Source organism: Homo sapiens, chromosome 11, assembly GCF_000001405.40.
Source record: "Homo sapiens chromosome 11, GRCh38.p14 Primary Assembly".
In the NCBI taxonomy this organism is placed as follows: Eukaryota; Metazoa; Chordata; class Mammalia; order Primates; family Hominidae; genus Homo; species Homo sapiens.
The window spans coordinates 112275485-112292600 of NC_000011.10; the positions used below are offsets into that span (position 1 = coordinate 112275485).

The window sequence follows — 17116 nt, forward strand, 5'->3', positions numbered from 1 at the left end:
ACCTCTCCTGGCACCTTCAACACTATTTTGTGAACAGTTTATCTCTTTTCTCTGTCTTTTTCTCTGTCTTACTGATGGCTCCTCAGAAGTGAGTAGAGGGGAAAAGGAAGGAAAGGGGTGATGGGATGAAGTCCTTTCTGCTCCCATTATCATTCAGATTGAGATTGAATCAGTCATGTAAATGAATGGGCAGATGGACATCCTGCATACCGACCTTATGTATTATTATTATTATTATTTATTTTTTTTTGTAAAGATGGGGTCTCCATATGTTGCCCAGGAGCAAAGACCATGACTTATTTGGGCTAATGTCAGTTCCTTTCTTCTCTAACTATTCACAGTTAAAGACATTGATGACCTCCTCCCATAAACCTAGGCTAGCTCTAATTTTTTTTTTTCTTTGAGACAGGGTCTTGCTCTGTAGCACTGTCTCAAAGCCTGAAGTGCAGTAGTGAAATCACAGGTCACTGCAGCCTTGAATTTCTGGGCCCAAGGGATGCACCTGCCTCGGCTTCTTAAAGCACTGGGATTGTACTTAGATTTTAAGTCGGGTTTAAATCCTACCTTTGGTAGCCAGTCCTTCCCATTTCCTCCAGGGCACATGAATCTGAAGCTCTTGAAATTCTAATCAGTGGCACAGTAGTCAGAGTTTGAATTAAGCAAATGTTTATTGAGCTGTGCTGGTTCTAGATGCTTTGGGCAGTCCACATAAAAGACCTCAGTGACTAGTAAATGGAAAACTCAGGAAATGTCAGTGGTGTTGAGACATCCCTTAGAGAAAGGAGAAAGGAGACCTAGGAGGGGCTGGTGTAAAACCTCTCTGAGCAAGGCGAGAGGGAGAGAGCCAGAGAGAGGGCTGGAAAAATCACAGCAAGTAAAAAAGAAAAATGAGAAGACAACTGCAAGTGAAATGAACTTGGTGAGCTTATGTGTGAATGGCCAGGTTTCTAAGCCAGGGGAATCAGATCAGGTGGCGGGTGATGATCTTATGACCTGTGGATCCTGGAAGGGCAGGGAGGAGAGGTGAACATCAGTAAGTGAGGAGAAAGAGTAAGCAAGCAAACAAACAAACAAGAAAACAAACAAAACCAAAACCCTTGAATCAGTCATGTAAATGAACAGTCAGATAAACATCCTGTGTACTGACATAACCAAGGGTCGCAGTGCATGCCCTAACTATCAGACTCTGACAGTTTCAGGGAGTGTGGCTGGTTATTGAATCCAACCAATAAATGAATGCTGTTAATGTTAACTTAATGTATATGCCTATGACCTTGTATCTGAGTACTGGCCCTGTGTTTCTGATCCCTGCAGGGGGTGGGCAGTAGGGAGTGGCTAGGGGATGTGGCAACCTGTCGCTAATTTACAACCCTCAATCATGAGGTAAGAATTGGAAAATCATTCCATCATTCCAGGATGTCCGTCCATCATTCCAGGGTGTCCATTTGACCACTGAGTAAGAGCCCATCTCTGCCCTCTGGAGCTCCCACGTGATCCAGGAAGAGAAGTATATGAACAAGCCACAATGGTTTGAGGTTTACTGAGCAGACCATAAAAGGAGGTGGAAGCTCCGTTCCATGAAAGAACAGATAAAGAGGAATTAGGCTCAAAACACCTTCTTGTGTTGGTTTTTTCCCTTTCTCAACTAGATTTTGGGTTCTTGGAGGATAAATGTTGTACCTTCTTTTGTCTCTCCTATGACACTTAGCATGTCTGGTATCTTGGAGCATACAGCAGGTGCTCAATAGTTGCTTGTGCTTACTCATTTGAATGCCTACAGGGCCTGTAACATGCCTTGCAGATGTTAGGTATTTGGTTTTTGTTAAATAAATGAAATTGATATTCTCTCCTTTTGATCCCATTTCTTCATTTTCCTCCTGTCTTCCAAGGATTTGTATATAGGTGCTTATTAAAATGAATCATAAAGTGGTTGATGACTTCAGAACAAAATTTAACTACATTAACAATCAAGACATTTCACCTGTAACATCAGCTAAGATGAATAAAAATGAGATCACTTCCAACATTAATGAGGTTGCAGGCAAATTGAACTTTCCTAAATTGTTAAAGGGAGAATAATTGTTTGAGTGTTTTGGAGGGCAATTTGACACTATTTGTCAATAGCCTTAAGAAAGTGCATACCCATCCTGGCTAACATGGTGAAACCTCGTTTCTACTAAAAATTCAAAAAATTAGCCGGGCACGGTGGTGGGCGTCTGTAGTCCCAGCTACTTGGGTGGCTGAGGCAGGAGAATGGTATGAACCCGGGAGGCGGAGGTTGCAGTGAGCCGAGACCGCGCTACTGCACTCCAGCCTGGGCAACAGAGCGAGACTCCGTCTCAAAATAAAAAAACAAAAAAAGAAAGTGCATACCCTTTGATCAGGATGTTCAACGTTTTTATCTTAAGGATGATTACTGCTGAGTGGAAAGAATTATGTGGAAGGAAGATAATCACAGCATTGTCTATGATAGTGAAAATTGAAAACATCTTAAATGCTAGCCAGTAAGGGATTATGTGATTAATACCTTGAACCACTTATAATAATGTGTTAGAAAAGTAACTGAAAAATGAGAACATGTTAAAAATAAGTAAAAAAAAAAAAAAGTCACAAGACAATGTAGACCATTCAGGAAGCTGGTATGGTAGGAATTCTGCTCTGTTCCTCACAGTTATGTGGCCTCAGGCAGGTTGCTTGACTTTTTGTTGCACAGAAATTTTCTTTTCAGTAAATTGGAGACATTGTGTCTCCCCTGCAGGTTGCTATAAAGATTGGTGAGATGTTTGTATAGCACTTGGTCCTGTGTCTGACAGGTAGTAGATGTTCAGTTAGCAGTGAATATTATTACCTGATTTCTGTAAAAAAAAAAAAGCACCCTCATATTTATATTAGCACAGTAAAAGAAAGGTCACTGGAAATTACAGCAAATGTTAGCAGTGTTGTCTCTAACTGGTGACATTGCAGTCATTTTTATTTCCTTCTTTGAGTTTTTCCCTTTTACTAATGAACATAGATTAATATTACAACCAGAAATTAAATACTGTACTTAGAAAAGAAAAGGTGCTAGGCTTGTATTAAAAATGAAAGAATTAAAGAGATGAGTTACTGATTCCTTTCTTTTAGAATGATAACCTTACCTGGGTTATCAAAGATAACCTTATCTTAGGGATGATCTGTTTAACATCATTTTACTGTTGGGGAAACAGAAGCTCTGAGAAGGAAAGTGACTTGTCTAAAGTAATAAATCAATTAATAGCAGGTTTCACATTCCTTGAACCAGTACTTTTTCAATCTACTAGTCTCTCTTTGAGGACACGGGGCTCAAGAGAGGGGCTGCTTTAGTCCCGGATAGGCCCCAAACCACTAGTGTCATCAGTAGAATGTCCCTTCCTGACTCTCCCAGGAAGCAACTTTTGCTTCTTTTCCCCTCCCAGGCAGTACAGTGCTAACCTAGGAGAAAAGGGTCATGGGGACCTGCACACGTGTTCCTGGTCCTCTCTGTGAGTGGACCCCAAGGGGTGCTCCTCAGCAGGCCAGCGGCATGTGCTATTTGGACATTCACCCTGTGTGGATGACAGCATTATGCTTCCTTTTTCTCTTATCAGCTTCAATGTATGCATGTATGTCATGCTGCTTCTGAATACTAATTTTGTCTGGATTGATTCATGTTCAGAGTGTTGGTGCTGCTGGCTGCTAGGCTTAGCATGAGGTTCTTCCTGTGTTTTGTAATTTTGGATTTGCAGGCTCATGTGGAATGGGAGGCTTTTGGATTTTTTCTTCTTTCTCTTCTGATTGTTCAACTGCACCTGTCTAGAGGTTTTGCAGTTGCTTCCTCCTGTCCCTCTGAACCCCAGGTCTAGAAACGCCTCATGAAGGTGGCTGGTGACAACAGATACTGGAGACAGCACAGTGGGTGGCTTGTCTCAGTTCCTGGAAGGGAGGCTTTGTCCTTCCCCTCCCCGGGCCCATGGCTCCCCAGGAATTTGTAACCCCAGGTAGCACTGGGCAGCCGTCCTGGAGCTTCAGCCTTGCTCACTGCTTTGGGTTTATCTTCCTTTTCTGATCCAAAGAGATATTCATACATATTTTTTTCAGCTCAACTATATCTTTTTTTTTTTTTTTAGAGACAAGTTCTCATTCTGTCCCAAGGCTGGAGTGCATTGGCACAATCATAGCTTACTGTAACCTTGAACTCTTGGGCTCAAGCGATCCTCCCTCCTCAGCTTCCCAAATAGCTAGGACTGCAGGTGCTTGCCACCACACCTGGCTATTTTTTTTTTTTTTTTTTTTTTTTTGTAGAGACGGGGCTTTGCTATGTTGCCTAGGCTGATCTCAAACTCCTGGCCTCAAGCAATCCTCCCACCTTGGCTTCCCAAAGCACTGGGATTACAGGTGTGAGCCACGGCAGTGGGCAGGAACTATATCTTTTGGTTTTCTCTTTTTATACTTTATGTACTATTGCAATGTGTTTGGAATAGCGGAGGTGCAACCAATCCAGATTCATTGTGCTATCTCGACCTAACAGGTGGTCTTTTGGTTGAGGGTGGGCACTTGGCTCTCAGGGATTGGCTCTGAAACCTCAGTGGTAAGGCGTCTTCCAGAGCAGCGGCGCCCCCTGGTGGCACGCGGTAGGATGGGCGGCAAAGAAGCACTCGGCGTGGGCGGGGCGGGTGGGGGTCGCAAGGCCACTTCTCTCCTTCCTGCAGGTTCTCAGAGATGGAAGGTGTCTTAGAGGCGGTGAGACCAACTGCCCACACAGTGTGGTCGCCCATCTATGCCACACCCAAAAATGGTCAGTGTCAGCTGGATCCACTCCACAATTTGGTCAGCTGTGTTTCCAAGGAGCCCTTCTTGTACTGAGTGGTTTCTCCTTGTAGCTCTCAGCCATGGGTCCTAGTTCCGCCATTTGAAGCCGCGCATAGCAAATGTGGCCCTTCTCCGTATTCTCTCAGATGTTTGAGGGCAGCATTAGACATTTCTTCTTCCGGCTCTCTTTCAGCCGGCCCCTCCAGACGATGGCCATTCCTGTTGCCTTGGTCCGCAGGAACGATGGGTTATGCATGAACTTTGTAGAACATGGCCTTGTCTTCACCAACGCGGAGGAGAGCCCGTTCGGTTCCAGAGAGGATGCTGCCTCATCTCGTCTCTAAAAGAGGAGGAAGGGGAGCAGGTCCCTTCACGTTCTCTGGTCTCAGCTGAGAACTCTCCCTGGAAGTAGCGGGCCGTGAAATGTTTCACAAGGTAGCATCTCCCTCTAGTGGCCACCATGGTCTATTTCAAGATGCTTTCCTCCCTTCCCCTGGCCCTCGCTTCTCAAGGTTTTTTTTTTTTTTTTTTTTCCCCCACCTCAAAAAGATCCACTGAGATGTGACAGGGTGAGCTGTAGATTGCAAAGTCCCCTATCTGGCCTTCTGACTAAAATGAACTGATTCTGCAATGGTGACTGGTGAGACAGAACTCAGATTCAATTTCTATGTTTCTCATGATTATCCTAAGCCAAAATTTGCAAATGGTTATACACATGTTAATTAGTATTATTCCCAGAAACTGTAAAATAATTGTTCTTCTTTTAGGTGGTTTCCTTATTGATTGGCTTTTTTTGTGTGTGTGACTTTCTCTGTCCATCTCTACTTGCTAATGGTTGAACTGAGGTGGTTTTTTTTTTTTTTTTTTTTTGAGACAGGGTCTCACTTTGTCATCCAGGCTGGAGTGCAGTGGTATGATCTTGGCTCATTGCAGCCTTGACCTCCTGGGATCCAGCGATCATCCCACCTCAGCCCCCAAAATAGCTGGGACTACAGGCATGTGCCACCACACCTGGGTAATTGTTTTGCATTTTTTGTAGAGATAGGGTTTCGCCATGTTGCCCAGGCTGGTCTGGAACTCCTGAACTCAAGCGATCTGCCCGCCTCGCCCTCCCAAAGTGCTGGGATTACAGGTGTGAGCCACCGTGCCCGGCCGGGTTCTTTAAGCGGCAATAACCAGATGCCTTCACACACCAGTACAAGTGAAGTTGGGGAGGTAGCTGGAAGGAGAAGGGAGCAACAAGGGAGCAAGAATGTCCACAGAGCCTGCATTTGGATCTGAGGTTACACTCCAGCAGGAGTCCTGGATCTTTGCTCTGGCTCTCCCCCAGTAAGGCGACCTGGCTTCTGTGAGCAGGTCCTCCATTCTCCGCTCGCCACTGGCAGCTCCCTTGCCTTGTTTTCTGCACCTGCCTCTTCCCTGCGCCACAGCTTCTGCTGATTCATAACTTTGGTTTACCCCTCACTCACTGTGGTCCCTTCAGCCTCTCTCCACTTGCTGCACTCCAGGACATTTCAGCCTTGGCTCCCGCCACCAACGGACTGATTTTCTTGACATTTTCCAGTTTTGCTTTCTGAGATAGAAATCTAATTGACACACCCTTCCCCTTTTTCAGGTGCTGGGCCACTTCAAAAGTCTCTAGCCAGCCAATGAATGAGCTGTTTGGGAGTCTGCTTCCTGTTGCAATTAGCTGGGCAGGGGAGAGTGTGCCATAAAACAGAACTGCCCTGCTGGGAAGTACCTGTGGCAGGGGATGAGGGCAGGCGGTTTCCTTTAAATGGGGATGTAGGTGCGGCACATTATAGAGCTATCCCATCTGGGAGCTCACATGTAGCAGCTGTGAGTTGGAACCCTTGTCTGGGAGCTGGGTGATTTGGTCTGCATTGAAGGGGGCTAGGAGCTCCCAACAGCATGGAAGTTTCAGGACATCTTGTGGTGGGATTCATCTTCTCCATTTGTCCTGCTGTGTTTCTCATTTTCATTGTATGATCAGTTTCAAGGAGAGGCACAAAGAATGGCTTGTGTGCCCCTGAGAGGGGCGTCATCAGGACTTACTTTGTGGACAGGTTGGTTGGGTGATGAGGTCCAATGTCATATTAAGGCAGAGGAACTAGGGAGTGGGGATGGCAGCCTACAGCTGGTTAACAGGGCAAATTTGGTTGAATTTGGAAAATGGTACCATTTCTTTCACACACCCCACTGACATCTTCTAGAAAACTGCTGTAGGAACTAGAAAAACCTGTGATGACCATGATGTGAAAGGAGCCCAACAGTGTTGTGCAATGCAAAACTTGCACCGCTGTTAGTAGCTGCCTTACCAGGATCAAGCTGCACACCACATCCATCTCAGCCTGCCTTGCATCTGCGAGTGTCCTGCAGAGATCTCAGGTGGCCACTCAATAGGAGTCCCTCACATGCCTTCCATTCAGAGGACACAGATGCATAGGTTTGGGGATATAGAAAACTTTGGGGGTAAAAGTGGGAGAAAATTAGCATTTCTTGAGTATTTATATATGCTAGGGGCTATGCTAACTATTTTACTTACATTGTTCATATTTTTGCATGAAAGCTGTGTTGTAACTATTACTACTTTCATTTTACAGCTAAGAAAACTAGGCACTGAGGTTCAGCTGCAGCTGCTGCTTTGGGCTGCACAAATTGCATATTTGTAATCAGGAAATGCTATTCACCTGTAATTCAAGTGACCATGTTGGTTACAAGGGGAGCCAGTATATCACTTGCCCAAGTCACATGGTGAAGGAGGAGCAGAGCTGGAATTCACACCCAGTCTGAATGACTCCAAAGCCCATGTTCTGTCTGCTACACAAGTCTTTTGAAGACCCCACAGGAGTAAAAAGTGACCAAACTTAGTTTTTTTTGTTTTTCTTTCTTAGAGAAAAGTTCCATTCCTGTATTCTCAAATCAAATGCAGAAAACATGGAATTTTATCCACAATGACAGCAACCTCTTAGAAGGAAAAGTGAGCATCTACTATGTGTGATACCTGTGACTGTCCCAGGTGTTGGGCTATAAATAAGACAAAGTCCAGCGAAGGCTACATGAGCTGGATTGTGACCAGAACAGCACCATTTGATGAAATTAATCTGGGAACTGGATTTAGTTTCCGAGTTAAAGGTTCTCCACCCCACAGAAATTTGGTTTTAGTTGGTCTGATGAGGGACTCAGCATTTCAATATTTCAAAGGTCCCTTGGTAATTCTAATGCACAGCTGGGATTGAAAGCCACAGATCTAGTCCAGCCCTTGATTGAGAAGCAGGTGTCAAGGTCACTCAGCTGGTTAGTGTAGCTGTTGAGTGTGGGCTGGTCCCTCATTGGATTTGCTGTTGTGCCTTGAAGGGCAGGGGAGGGGGATGCAAAAAGTGGGAAGAAAGAAGTGATTAAGCTGTTGGAACAAAGAGAAAGGCCCCATTTGTCTCTACTAGGTGATGTGGAGGGAGGCCCTGAGGACACTTTCTTATTCACTGGGAGTGCCCAGTACCTGCTCGGAACAACCAACTCATATTAAGTTGATTCTTAGAGGGTATTATCATCATAGTCATCCCTCAGTGTCCACAGGGGATTGATTCCAGGACATACTCCCTGCCTGCAGATACCAAAATCCACAGATGCTCAAGTCCCTGATATGAAATGGTGTGGTATTTGCATATAACCTACAATTCTCTCATATACTTTAAATCACCTCCAGACCACTTATAAAACCTGATGCAATGTAAAATGCTATGTAAATAGCTTTTTTAGTGGGTTTTTAATTTGTATTTTCTTTTTCTTTTTCGAGATAGAGTTTCACTCTTGTTGCCCAGGCTGGAGTGCAGTGGTGCGATCTTGGCTCACCGCAACCTCCGCCTCCCAGGTTCAAGCGATTCTCCTGCCTCAGCCTCCCTAGTAGCTGGGATTACAGACGTGCGCCACCACACCCAGCTAATTTTTGCATTTTTAGTAGAGACAGGGTTTCTCTATATTGGTCAGGCTGGTCTCAAACTCCCGACCCCAAGGTGATCCACCTGCCTTGGCCTCCCGAAGTGCTGGGATTACAGGCATGAGCCACCGTGCCTGGCCTGTGTTTTCTTATTGTTATATATATTTTTTGGTTTGTTTTGGAATATTTTCTATCTGCAGTTGGCTAAATCTTCAGATATGGAACCCCAGGATTGGAGGGCTGGCTGTCTTGTGAGCTGAAATCAGATGTGACTCCTGCCAGGAAATCGCCTGCTCTTGTTATTTGTTAGGGTGCGAGGCAAAGCTGTTGTAAGAAAAACATCCAAGAATACAGTGGTTTAAAAAATGTTGTGGATTACTTCTCTCCCTCATTTAGCAGTGTCTGGGGAGTAGGTGAGCTCATTGATTCCACAGGGTCACTCAGGAACCCAGCATCATCCCCCAAGACCCAGGGCCGTAGGCTAAGGGGCAGCCACATCTCCCTCGGATTCAGGCTCCAGGGCGTGAAGGTGTCAGCTATTTCTATGGTGGGAGATGACTGACCCCTGGCCCTGTGAAGCTGGTGGGCATGAGGTACGAGGCAGGTGGGTCAGGGGCTTTAGGCTGCTCTAGGCCCCACGCAGGTTCCTTCTGCCGCCTCCAATTCTCAAGGAAATTCAAGGGAGAAGTGTGGCACCGGGGAAGGATGGATCCCATAGTAAGGACTGAGAAGTGGGGGTCAGGGCAGGTCTTCCTTAGGCGCCAGAGCGGCAGTGGTGGTGAAAGCCGTGCCTTGCAGATGGTGAGCTTGTGGGTGCCATAGTGGCAGCCTGAGGTGGGGGCTGCAGCAGAGGGAATTCCGCTTCAGGGCTGGCTCCTGAGTCCCTGAGGCCATGCTGCCTCTCAGAGAAGGCTGCGGGACCTGCTGCCACAGCTGGTGAGAGCTTAGATGATCACAATTTGGGAACTGAATGTAAACGTGGTCTGACTTTGTGGTCTCCAGGGGTGAGATCTAGAACATTCTGGTAATGATTTCATAATCCTCCCCCACTCTCAGGGAGGCCCCTCACTCACTAATGGTGAAAACTCCTTCTGTTTAAAAATTCTTTTAAAGTTGTCAACTTTTGTCTCTGCTTTTGTGTTTGTGTCTGTTTGTCTATCCCTCTCTCCTTGTTCTCTCTTTTTTTTTGAGACAGAGTCTTGCTCTATCGCCAGGCTGGGGTGCAGTGGCGCGATCTCAGTTCACTGCAAGCTCTGCTTCCCGGGTTCAAGGGATTCTCCTGGCTCAGCCTCCCAAGTAGCTGGGATTAAAGGCATGTGCCACCACGCCTAGCTAATTTTTGTATATTTAGTAGAGACGGGGTTTCACTGTGTTGGCCAGGATGGTCTCAATCTCTTGACCTCGTGATCTGCCCACCTCCCAAAGTGCTGGGATTACAGGCGTGAGCCACCATGCTCAGCCTGTTCTCTGTCTCTTGTATCTCCCCATGACCTTCAGTGTTCAGACACTGGGTCACCTCTCATTTCCTAAATGTCTGTTCTCTTTCTTGCCTCTCCAAGTTCAGCTGCAGAGCAGCTGCATTCCTCAGTAGGCAGTGGGAGAGACTCTGTCTTTCTCCTGCGCTGCAGCCCGTCTCATCACAGGCTTCAGGTGGTCCCTTTGGGCTCCCACAGCAGTCAAGCTTCCTGCGCATGATTAAAGGGATGCTGGTGCTTCTGAAATAAAGCACCAGGGGCAGAGGCTGATGGCTCAAGCCCAATCCCCAGGTCTCCCAGAGCTGGCTTCCCTGGTAGGCAATCACAGACTTTGCAGGGAGGAGCCATCTCCTTTGTTCTTATGTGTTGCTTCTTTCTTGCTACCCAGGCTCATGTTAATTGCTTTTCTGACATTTTTTCTGGCAAGTGATTTTTGCTGCTGCTTGTGGAGGTGACATGGCAAGCCCACAAGGGAGCGATAACAATGACCTAATGCAGAGCCGAGGAGGCTGGGGCTCCTATACGGGGTAGAAGATAATGAAGTTGAGTCATGAACAATTTGTTCTAAATGGTCAGTGAGATAGGCTCAGAGCCTTCAGAAATGAGAGTAGCCTGTGGCCAAGGCTTTCCTGAGAAGTTGTTCCCTCGGCCTTTGTAGTTCTGGCAGACCACCCTTCCTGGTGCAGGGACCTCAGGATGTGGGAACCTGTGCACAGGGCTAGATGATTCCTAAGGTCTTCCAAGAGCTTGTGAATGTCGGCAGCACAGAGACTAGAACTATGATGATCCTATCTTCCCAGCTACCTGTCAGAACACGTAGTCTGGTAATCCAGCAACTCCATTAGCCCAGATATTTATTCCACTTACTCTGTGCCAGGCATGGTGTTAGCTGGAGACATGACAGTAAATGGGTCACAGTTCCTACCTCAGTTCAGCTCACAGCCCGGATGGGAGACAGACCCACACTTAGATAATTATAATGCAGCAGGGCGAGTACCAGGATCCAGTGATGTATGGGGGTTATTCTGAGCACAGAGGAGAGGTCTCAGGGGCCAGGACAGGCTTCCTGGAGGCAGCACCAACACTACTGAGTCTTGAATAAGCAGAAGTTATAGCTGGGCCAGGCCAAGGGGAGTATAGGGGTGAGGAGGGAAGAGCTGATTTCTTCTCCTGCCTGAACCACCTGTTTAAAAGCAACATGGGGAAACAAAGCCATATGAAGAGGGGAAGTTGACAAGCACAAGTCCCTTGACTCTACAGAACAAATTTTAATCTCCCTTTCTTTGTACGAGGGTCTCCAACTCAGTGTCCAGCCACCCAAGCTCTAGCCTGTGGGGACCCTTCATAACTCCTCCCAGGGGGTCAAGGCAACCCAGCATTTCCTGGGGGATGCAGATGAGTGTGGCCTAATAATTCTTGCTCCAATCAGCGACTGTCTAAAATGTGGGCAACCTGAGCACCCAGTGCCATCCAGAGCTCAGGGTAGGTGCTCATCATGTCCTTGATTGCAGCTGCATGTGTGTTTGCCTCTTACCTGTCATGATGATCAACAGGAGCTCGGCAGTTGTAATCAGCAACGAGAGTTACACATGTCATTAGGTTTACAGAGTAACATGGGCCAGGCCAGAAGATATGTCTGCAAGAGGTCTCCTTGGTATGGCCAGCTATGGCCAGAGGAATAATAAAGGCAAGGCCTTCCCAGGTGGGCACCTCTGCTATTTTCTACTGGAGGCAGGGGCTGAGTCCTCGAGTGGGGAAATGCCGATGTGGCCAGTTTCTCTAAGGACTCTGGGGCTCTGTTGGCCCCTTGGCTACATTTCTTGACTTTGCCATTGTTATTATTAGCTTTTCTAGGTGGATAATGGGATAATGGGAGGCAATGTGGTTAACATTTTTTTTAAAAAAAATAAATGTTGGCCGGGTGCGGTAGCTCATGCCTGTAATCCCAGCACTTTGGGAGGCCAAGGCCAGTGGATTACCTGAGGTCAGGAGTTTGAGACTAGCCTGGCCAGCATGATGAAACCCTGTATCTACTAAAAATACAAAAATTAGCCAATGTAGTGGCTCATGCCTGTAGTCCCAGCCACTTGGGAGGCTGAGGCAGGAGAATCGCTTGAACCCAGGAGGTGGAGGTTGCAGTGAGCCGAGGTTGTGCCACTGCACTTCAGCCTGGGTGACAAGGGTGAAACTCCGTCTTAAAAAAAAATGTATTGTGTGTATCGAAGGTATCCAACATGATGTTAATGTGATTTTATGAAAAGCAGCCTTTGCAGTCAAGTAGACATGAACTTGAATCTTAGCTCTGCCACTTCAGCTGTGCAGCTTTGAACACTTAACTTCTTTCAATGTGAGTTTCTCATCTATTAAATGGGGTTAATCATGTCTATTTGTATCTATTTCCAAAGAGTGTTGTGAAGATCCAAGGGGATAGCACGTGTAAAGCACATTCTTCTTACCTTTTATCTCCCTGAGCTGAGTGTAGAGGCTGCAGTCATTCATTGAACAATTGTTTATTGTCTACTTATTGCTAACCATTGTTGCGGGTTCTGCGGAAACAGTAATGAACAAAAGTCTCTGTTCTCATCAAGTTCACATTCTGGTGGGGAAGCTTGAAAATAAGTAAGTAAACTAAGCAGGATAACTTCAGATAGTGATAAAAGCTATACAGAAAAGGAAACAGGCCCATAGGATAGAAGTGATTTGGTGGGAGGCCTGAAGAGGCTTTAGGGAGCACAGTGGTCTTTGAACCAAGACCTGGAGGCCAAGAAGGAGCTGGGCCTGCGGAGACCTGAGGAAGAGCATTCCAGGCAGAGAGAAGAGCAAGGGCACAAAGTGCTGAGGTGGGAAAGCATTTGGCAAGAAAGAAGATGCTTGCAGGAGGAGCACTGTGAACCCTGGGGAGTGTGGGATGAGGAGAGGAGCAGGAGTGAGTTCCATGCATGTTCCCAAACTCTGTGCTGAGGTGTTCTTGGAGCTGCTGTGGATTCAGAGGGGCTCTTTGAGATATTTTAAAGGCCAAAGGCAACACTCAACTTTTGTTGGGCTCCATGCAAACTACTAAGTAGTGCAGGATAGCTTGAAGACTCAATATTAGATTGCCCTACAGTTTTTTTTTTTTTTCCTTGAGATGGTGTCTCACTCTGTTGCCCAGGCTGGAGTGCAGTGGTGTGATCTTGGCTCACTGCAACCTCCGCCTCCCAGGTTTAAGAGATTCTCCTGCCTCAGCCTCCTGAGTAGCTGAGAATACAGGCACATGCCACCACGCCCAGCTAATTTTTGTATTTTTAGTAGAGATGGGGTTTCTCTACTACTACCATGTTGGTTGAGCTGGTCTCGAACTCCTGACCTCAAGTGATTCACCTGCCTTGGCCTTTCAAAGTGCTGGGATTACAGGTGTGAGCCACCACGCCTAGCCTGCCCTACATGTTTTTTGATAAAACCATATTTTTCTGAAGCTACATTTTCAGTTTTTGTCATTTGCTGTGACATAAAACACGTACCATGGGAAAATCAATATAGAATAGGAAATGAGGGCGGCAGCGTCTAATCCAATTCCAAGGTCTGAGAAGTTGCGCAGTGCTCAACAAGCACACACATCCCGTTAGTGAGAAGTTGTGGCTAAGAATGAGATAAGTTTTTTTTTCTAGTTTATATGCAATATTTTTTCTAGTGGCTACTAGTTGTTAGGACAGAAATACTTCTTACTTGGGTCTAGCTACTTAATACACAGAACAGTCAGGTATTTCTTTAGGCCTAGGGTTACTGTGAAAAAAAGCATTGAGACATTAAGGGCATGATAAACAGACAAGGTTAGAAACTCCCGGGCTAGGTGATGAGCTGTCATGAAATCTTTCTCATTTCAAGCGCACAACTTCATATTGTTGCCTTTTCATAGACCCAGGGGTGTGTGTTTCTGTGCATTTGTGGATAACCTGAAAACGTCGTCTAGATTTTGTAACTGGGAGGGTCCCCAACCTGCCTGACCATTAGGATCACCTGGGGGAACTTTGCAAAAATAGTTCCCTGGCCTCTGCCCAGGGGATTCTAATTCAGTGGGTCTGACATTTGAATCTGAGTTCAAAGATCTCTGCTCCAACTCGCATTCTTTCAGGCAGCCAGGATGGCCCAAGTGGAGCCGGCCTGCCCAGATTTGGGGGTCCTAGTTGTTATACGTTGTGCCTGGGGCCAGGCTGTGTGGCTTTTTCGGATCCCCAAGACTGGGAAGGGGCGTGGAGCACGTGTCCGTTGGAACCCTGGGGGAGGTCGGTGCTGGAAGCGCTCATCTCCACCTCCAGTCTGGGTGCGCTGCGTGAGTGACCCGAAAGGAAGATGATTCTTGCCGTAGGAAGCCCCTGCCAGGACAGTCACCACCTCCCAGGCCCAGTGGACTCGGACCCGAGCGTCCTCCGGGAGGGTTTCTGGGGCGTGGCGGCTGAGCGCGGTTCGGGGAGACGCGGCCGGGAGGTGGCAGCAGCGGCCCTCTGGCAGACACGGTGCGTGCCGGGGGGCGGGGACGCGGGCGGCTCCGGGCGGGCGTGGTCCCTCTTGCGGGCGCCTGGGCTGGTCGGGCGGATCCCGGAGAGGGGGAGCCGCGGGGACGCAGCGACAGACTCGGGGTGCTGGCAGCGGCAGCCCACGCCTCCCAGGGATTGCAGGCCTGGGCGCCGGGGTTGGACCAGTCTCCCGGGCATGGCACGCCCTGGTTATTCTGTACCCGTGATTTGTGGCGGGGCAAGACGTTAAGTTGGGTGACACCGAGGTGAGCCACGGTCCTCGGCACCAGATGAGGAACCACTGTCTCAATAAGGTGTGACATGGAAAATGTGTGTGTCTTATGTGTGACTGAAAAATACCTCCTTTGCTGACGTCTAAAATTTCACTATTAGAGATGCATTCTTTTGTCCTAAAGATTATTCTCTATTCAAGGCCCTGGGAGGGAGCAGTGCATTAGAACTTGAACTCTTTAGGGTGAGAATGATTTAATCTTATCTTTGTCGGCGAGGGAAGGGTTAGCCCTCAGTGCTCAAGACACAAAGAGGACTGAAGGCGCATTAATTGGTACTTGCTAATCAAGCCTTAGAGACCAGAGCACTCCAGGGGAATTTTACTTTGGAGAGAAATCTCATTGGCCCTGGAGCAGCCCTGTATCCACTTTGTGAATGTTTTAGAGAGGGTTAATGGGGTACTAGCACAGTGTGATTAGTTCAGTTCATTGGATTATCATTTTGTAAAAGAGGCAGCATCTTTACTAGTACTCTAATAAATTATAAAATTATTATATCCATTTCTGTTCCTTGTACCTTCTTTCTTTGAATTAAGAAAATGGTGTGGTAAGGTACAGTGAACTTTTGAGCCAGAAATTCCTGGCTTGGAGACCCCTCTCTGCCATCTGTTGACTGGCTCTGTAATTCTGGAAAACACCCTTTCTAAACTTCAGTTTTCTCATCTGTAAAATGGGAAAAATGCTGCCTACTTGGATGGTGATTGTGAGCATTAAATTAAATTCTGGAGGGAAAATATCTGGTATTTGTGTACTGATTTCAGGTCTCAGTGCTGTGTGTGTAATGGTTACCGTGAGAGCTTCCCTGCAATCCGAATTTGTGTGTCTCATTCTCAGTGACACCAGTGATGCTGTTAAACAAGGACAATCCGGTTCATGGATTGTGACAACGCACGCTGACATCAAGCAGACCCTGCCGTCAGGTACAGAGGGCACCACAGTGACCAGGAACTGCTGTCCTTTCATACCAGGTTTTAGGAGGCTTTACCAGAAGGAATGGAAAATGCTGGTGGGCAGTAAGATTGAAACAGCATCTGAGGACTGGTTCTGCACAAAACCTTAAATTCTTCAAGGACTTTGACATTTGTTTATTCTTGTAACAAATTAAAACCTATCCTGTGTGTTGGTTAGAGATCTTCAAACTGTAAATACCTTGAGGCAGGAGTGAGGTTTTTATCTTTTAAAGGACAGGCCCCTACTCTCCTACGTAATGAGTTTCTAAAAATGGATGTGAGCACCAATCAATATTTCTCTGGTTGTTAAAGTCAAGAATAAAATGGTATTTTTAAGCTCGCAACTGTGTAGGATGAATTCTGTACACTTTTATTTCCCTCTGTTCTCCTTTCCTATTTGAAAGTTTATTAGTTTGTGGACTTGGGATCGGATTATTCATGCATTATTTTTTGATGTTGTATGTCTCTTGGTTCTTGGGTATTTTTGACACATATTCTGTCTTGTAACCATAGTTAAACAATTGTTTTAGACCAACTCTCTGTGTGTAATTGGCTTCAACACTCACTGCTAGTCCTTTGACGCTCTGTTTTTTTCCATTCTTGAGTAATTTTAAGTCATCACTTGGGCAGTTGAAATATATTTTAAAGTGATTTAAAGAATATGTGAGTGGCAGACATTCTGAACTCTTTTGGTTGTCTGTCCTCAAAAACTAAAACTTATTTGTGAGTAAAATTTTCATCTAAGTGTTTTCCATATAAAAACTCTGTCAGCTACTGCTCCATTGTAGTAGACACAAAAAAGTCAGCACAATTTTCATCCCTCCCTCCCTCCCTTCTCTTCCCCTTCCCCTTCTTGCCCTCCTTCCTTCCTTCCTTCTTTCCTTCCTTCCTTCCTTCCTTCCTTCCTTCCTTCCTTCCTTCCTTTTTCTTTTGTTTCTGAATGTACAAAGAAAACACTTAAAAATTTGCTTGTAATTTAAAAACTTGTCAGGATATTTCTGGATTTGAGTGTTTCTTGGTTACTTTTACCTGGAACCTGGTGAACTGAGTCCATTCCTCTGTTTGCCCTTTCTGTACTTTTTTGGAAAGTTTTCTTTAATTATATCTTCAATTATTGTTTCTCTTTTGATTGTTCTAGATTCTTCTTCAGAAACATAACTCTTAG

At 46.2% G+C, this 17116-nt stretch overlaps 1 long non-coding RNA gene across 1 annotated transcript in view, besides 4 other annotated features; it reads left to right on the forward strand.

The window, feature by feature from the left end:
• LINC02762 (long intergenic non-protein coding RNA 2762) overlaps positions 1–17116 on the forward strand; it is a 91786-nt gene that overhangs the window by 4736 nt on the left and 69934 nt on the right. The window lies entirely within an intron of this gene.
• Positions 4858–4947: an enhancer, noted in NCBI's record as "active region_5533". NCBI's record gives its function as "activates an Ori minimal core promoter by ATAC-STARR-seq in GM12878 lymphoblastoid cells {active_cell/tissue: GM12878}" and the evidence as "EXISTENCE:reporter gene assay evidence [ECO:0000049][PMID:35858748]".
• Positions 14586–14895: a silencer, noted in NCBI's record as "silent region_3907". NCBI's record gives its function as "represses an Ori minimal core promoter by ATAC-STARR-seq in GM12878 lymphoblastoid cells {active_cell/tissue: GM12878}" and the evidence as "EXISTENCE:reporter gene assay evidence [ECO:0000049][PMID:35858748]".
• Positions 14586–15440: a biological region, named in NCBI's record as "NANOG-H3K4me1 hESC enhancer GRCh37_chr11:112160899-112161647".
• Positions 14692–15440: an enhancer, noted in NCBI's record as "NANOG-H3K4me1 hESC enhancer chr11:112160899-112161647 (GRCh37/hg19 assembly coordinates)". NCBI's record gives its function as "activates a minimal SCP1, AML or CMV promoter by ChIP-STARR-seq in primed H9 embryonic stem cells {active_cell/tissue: H9 hESC(primed)}" and the evidence as "EXISTENCE:reporter gene assay evidence [ECO:0000049][PMID:30033119]".